Consider the following 6,000-nt stretch of genomic DNA (forward strand, 5'->3'; position numbering starts at 1 on the left):
CACATGCACACTTAGCTTTACATTATTCTCACACGTAGATCAGTAGGCTGAAAAAACCATTAAAAGTATTATAAAATTTAAAAGACCACATTTTAAATACTGGTTTAGGAATAAATTTTTAAACAAATATCAAAAAAGAATTATTAAACACTCAATGAAATTGATAAATACCTACAAATGCTATTAGTAGAACAGAAATAGAGGATTCAAATAAATAAATAGAAATAATCCTTTAATAAATAAATAATAAAATCTAAAGAGTTACAAGGTACTAAAGAAATCCTCATCAAAATCTTTTCAGTCAACGGTTGGTATAAAACTGTAAAATTTACACATTATAATATGGATGGATCTTACAAAAACTACTGTGCTAAGTGAAACCATTAAACAGAATTAGGTATATGAGACAATACCCTTTCCATACAATAAAAATTTAATATTAAAATTCAAAGTAAAAATTATTATACTGCTTTTAATTCAGCAGTATATGTTTTAAATAATATGAATAAATATAAGGGTGCTTTAAACACATGAAGTCATTGTCAATGTTGATAGAATGTAATAAGAGTGGAAATCTGAATTATAAAGAAAAGAATACATTTGTGAACAAATAAATAGAGAGGCCTTACATAGGTTAATATACTTAAATAGATCAAATACTAGAGTATGGGTGAGGAACATTACTAATCATTTGTACCTAGGCTTTAATTTTTAAAAAGTACACTTGAGTAATAAACACATAAAATAATTCCTGATATCATTAGTAATTCTACAAAAACAAATTAAAATAGAGAATATTGGTAAAAAAAATAGGAAAATAGGGAACATATATCTATAATTTTAGTTATTATGAATACATAATAGTTGTACATATTTGTGGAGTACGTGTGATATTTTTATACAAGAATACAATGTGTAATGATCAAATCCAGGTAATTGGTATATACATCTCCTCTAGCATTTATGATTACTTTGTATTATAAACATTCTAATTCCACTATTTCAGTTATTTTGAAATATACATTATTGGTAATTATAGTCATCCTATATTTTAACTAACAGTTTGGCCACTCATGCACACATGAAAATAGAATGTTTATAGCCAGAAAATTGTTTGTTAAAATAGGAGTCTTGCAATGTCTACAGAGTGTAAATGAGTTCAAACATTGTGGTTATGTATAAAATTTTTATAAATTTGAATAATATATTTTTATATAAAAAAGTTAACAAAGGTAATAATTATCAGTTGTTATATGGTTTTTGTGTGTATATATTTATTTTATATATATTTTATTATTTATATATTCATATATTTATGTATAACTTTTATATTATATATTATATATAAAACATTTTATATATAATATATAATATATTAACTAATATATAATTATATATTGACCTATATGTAATTATATTACATATATTTTATCCCATATATATTTTATAATATATAATATATATTTATATATATTTGCCTAGGGGAGGTTCCCAGGAATGTCCATATGCAAAGGCTGATCAATGCTGGAAAAAAGGCCTGACTATAATAGCTCACCTGGGGACAATTGTAAAGGACTCTTCTAGCTTGAGAGCCCCTGTGGGGTTACTCGTTACTCGTGGATGTTTACAGACTGACAGCATTTGCAGCTCACCTTCTTACTGCCCAATCCTGCTGTCTGCACTTCCCTTTCAACTAACATCTCAGGAATACTTAATACATGTCTAGCAATGCCAAGTTTCAGTTTAGAATAAGACTCCAAGTATTTTTTAAAATATCTGTTCCTGGTATCAAATATGCTATGTGCATCTATTTGGTATGCATATGAGTGTGTGTGTGTGTGTGTGTGTGTGTGTGTGTGTGTGTGTGTATTCTTTAAGGCTCTTGATAAATAATCTCAAATGGTTATGCCATTGTAAACTTTCCAGTGTTTTTAAAAGAGTGCCTACTTCATAGTACTTTGAAATAAAGCTCAGAGTTTCAGGGTTTAACATGTTTTGGATTCCAGCTTTGCCAGTTTGACATGTAAAGGACAGAATCTCAACATCTCATAACATTTTGTTTAAATTTTCTTGAATTTCTAAAGTTGTTGAGATTGTCATTTATTTAACAGTCTTTTAAATTATATTGGTTGTCTATTCGCTTTGATAGTTTCTGTTGCTTATTTACTGTTTTTGTTTAGTTCTTTTGTATTGAACATATATATTGCTTTAACTTCAGATACCAGATACTAGGACGCTGGAAAGGAAAGACGCTTCCAACAGTAGTGGTTCACAAGAAAAGGAATATGTGGCTTCTCTTCAGTCTGCCACACACATTTGAATTCTATTGCTTTTTTTCTCTATAAGCAAAACCTTTTCAAATAATCTCTCCAAATTTATGAATTAGGTGGACTCTGCACCCAAAACGCTAGAAAGCACAAAGGAATGCATATCAAAATAAGCATACAGCCATGTTGGAAGACAATTTGGGAGTTTCTTACAAAGGTTAACTCAGTCTTACCATGTCACCCAGCAATCACTCTCCTAAATGTTTGCACAAATAAACTGAAAGCTTACATCATACAAAAACTTGCACATTTGTGTTTATAGCCACTTTATTTGCAATTGCAAAAAAAATTAGCAGCAACCAAGATTTCCTTTAATAGATGAATGAGTAAATAGTTTGAAGATATTCTAAAACAGTTGAATAGGGAAATAAAAATTAGACAAGCCACAGACCCTCAGACTTATATAGACTCACACAATGGAAAATTAAAAGAAATGAACAGTCAAGCTATAGAAATACATGGAGGCACTTACAACACATATTGTTAAGGGAAAGAAAGCAGTGCCAGAAGGCCACATACTGTATAATTTTAACTATGTGACATTCTGCAAAAGGCAAAACTATAAAGACAGTAGAAAAATCACTGATTCTCAGGGAGTAATGAAGTAGGGGATAAGTAGATAGAGCACAAGAGATTTTAAAGACCATGAAACTATTCTGTTTGATGCTGTTATAGTAGATATGGGACTTTATGCATCTGTGTCAAAACCCATGTAACTGTACAGCTACAAGAGGGAACTACAAAGTAAACTATAGATATTAATAATAATACATCTATATTGGTTTTAAAATAATAATACAATTGAGGAAAAAACATTTTAATATGAGTAATAAAATTATTTAATTGTTCTCATACAAGCAAAATAGAGAAAAACAGGATGGCAGATGGGGAATATCAATAAGAAAGATAATAAAATGAAAAAGAAGAAAATTGTGACCATACATTCAAAGAAGAAAGAAACATAATAAATTAACTACACAGAAATGCAAATGCTCAAAGAGAAAATAAAATAGCTCAAGGAAATTATGATAAGTCTATATAAAGAAATGAAACCTGAATCCTCAAAGCTCAGGAAACACCTGGGAGAAAGAAATGAAACTAACATAAAAATATGGTTAAACTTGGAAAAGGTATAAGGCAGAATAAATCCAAGACAACCAAAGGTATGTCATATATATACATACATATGTATGTATGTAAACATATATTACATGCATATGTATGTATACATATATTACATATACTTATTTATATGTGACATAACTTTGTCTTGTGTATACACACACATACATATAAATACATATATGTAAGATTTATGGGAAAAAATAAAACATGTTTTTAAAAATATCATACATACAAATAAAAAAAGAGGACTTCAATACACAAATTGAAAAGCATAGTTTGTCTGACAAAATATTGATTCAGAATTGACTACAAAATGATAAGTCCCCAAATTTCAAAACAGTTAAGAGTGGAAAAGATTAGGCTGGTTTCAGACTTATTCACAATACTATAACGATGTTTATGATACAAGCAATAAATACCTACAAAATTTTCAGGGAAACAAAGAGGTATATAATGGAAAAAAAAGTTGACATATAAAGACAGAGGAAAAATTGTTTACATGAGAAATTTCTTAGGAATTTGCTAAATTTGTCTTACCAAGATATAAAATAAAAATAAAGGTAGACACACAAAAATAAAATACCTGGAATACATCTAACCAAGGAAGTGAAAGAGATCTACAAGAAGAACTACTGCTGAAAGGAGAACTACTGCTGAAAGAAACCAGATATGACACAAGTAAATGGAAAAACTATATGCTCATGGATTGGAAAAATCAATATCATTAAAAGGCCATGCTGCCCAAAGCAATTTATAGATTCATTGCTATTAGTATCAAACTACCAACACCATTTTTTACAAAATTAAAAAAAAAGAAACTATCCTAAAATTTTTATGGAACTAAAAATGAGCCCAAAATAGCCAAAAGTTTTCCTAAACGAAAAGAACAAAGCTGGAGGCATTACATTACCTAACTGTACTACAAGGCTACAATAATGAAAACAATGATACTGGTACAAAAACAGACACATAGATCAATGAAACAGAATAGACAACCCAGAAATAAAGCCACACACTTACAGCCACCTGATCTTCAACAAACTCTACAATAATAAGCAGTGGGGGAAAGAATTTCCATTCAATAAATGGTGCTAGGATAACTGACTAGCAATATGCAGAAAAATGAAACTGGATCCCTACCTATCGTCATATACAAAAATTAACTCATAATGTATTGAAGACTTAAATGTGAAACCTCAAACTATAAAAATCCTAGAAGAAAATCTAGGAAATACCCTTCTCGATATTGGCCTTGGTAAACAATTTATGACTAAATCTCCAAAAGCAATTGCAACAAAAACAAAAATTGACAAGGGGAACCTAATTAAATTAAACAGCTTCTGCACAGCAGGAGAAACTATTCAGGAAGTAAACAACCTACAGAATGAAAGAAAATATTTGCAAACTATGCATCCAATAAAGGTCTAATATCCAGAATCTATAAAGAACTTAAACAAATTACGAACAAAAATCAAATAACCCCATTAAAAAGTGAGGAAAGCACATGAACAGATACTTTTTAAAAGAAGATATACAGGTGGCCAACAAACATATGAAAAAAAATGCTCATCATCACTAATTATCAAGGAAATGCAAATCAAAACCATGTGAGATGCCATCTCACAGGAGTCAAAGTGACTTTTGTAAAAAAGTCAAAACATACCAGATGTTGACGAGGCTGTGGGGAAAAGGGGACATTTATCCTGTTGATGCAAATGTAAATTAGTCCAGCCACTTTGGAGAGCAGTTTGAGATTTTTTCAAAGAACTGATTTGAACTACCAGTTGACCCAGTAATCCCATTACTGGCTTTATACCCAAAGGGAAATCATCCTAGCAAAAGGACACATGTGCCCATCTGTTTCTGGCAGTGCTATTCACAATAGCAAAAACAAGAAATCAACCCAGATGCCCAACAACAGTGAATTGGAAAAGAAAATGTGGTATATATTTACCATGGAATACTATGCATACATAAAAAAGGACAAAGTTATGTCTTTTGCAGCAACATGGATGCAGCTGGAGGCCATTATTCTAAGGGAACTAATATGGAAACAGAAAACCAAATAGTGCATGTTTTCACTTTTAAGTGGAAGCTAAAGATTGGGTACACATGGACATAAAGGTGAGAATAATTGACACTGAAAACTACTAGAGCCGGGAGAGAGAGAGACCAGGGCAAGGACTGAATATTACCTATTGGGTCCTATGTTCAGTATCAGTGAAGCAGGATATTTCCTTGACCACTTTGCAACAGTACTTGCAACAGGCGTGCCTAGTTTACTCAGCACACCACTCTCAACTCCTCATGGGAGGGAGGCGCTTGAACAAAGGAGGAAGGAACTGGAGTGCACCAGTTGGAAGTGGAACCAGCTGGCTGCTTGAACTCCACTCATTAGGCCTGCTACCTTCCACCCCTCATTAGAGGGAGCATGCAGGCGAGCGGGTGCAGGAGCCGGGGCGAGTGCTTTTGGGTGCTGGCAGAAGCAAACTCTGTGAGGGCCCCGCAGCAGCATTTTGGGGGGGGGGGGTGCAAGTGCGCTGAGCGT

At 31.8% G+C, this 6,000-nt stretch overlaps 1 annotated feature.

The window, feature by feature from the left end:
* Positions 5,499 to 6,000: an enhancer, noted in NCBI's record as "H3K4me1 hESC enhancer chr11:37989075-37989576 (GRCh37/hg19 assembly coordinates)". NCBI's record gives its function as "activates a minimal SCP1, AML or CMV promoter by ChIP-STARR-seq in primed H9 embryonic stem cells {active_cell/tissue: H9 hESC(primed)}" and the evidence as "EXISTENCE:reporter gene assay evidence [ECO:0000049][PMID:30033119]".

The sequence above is a fragment of the Homo sapiens genome, chromosome 11 (assembly GCF_000001405.40).
Source record: "Homo sapiens chromosome 11, GRCh38.p14 Primary Assembly".
Classification (NCBI taxonomy): domain Eukaryota; kingdom Metazoa; phylum Chordata; class Mammalia; order Primates; family Hominidae; genus Homo; species Homo sapiens.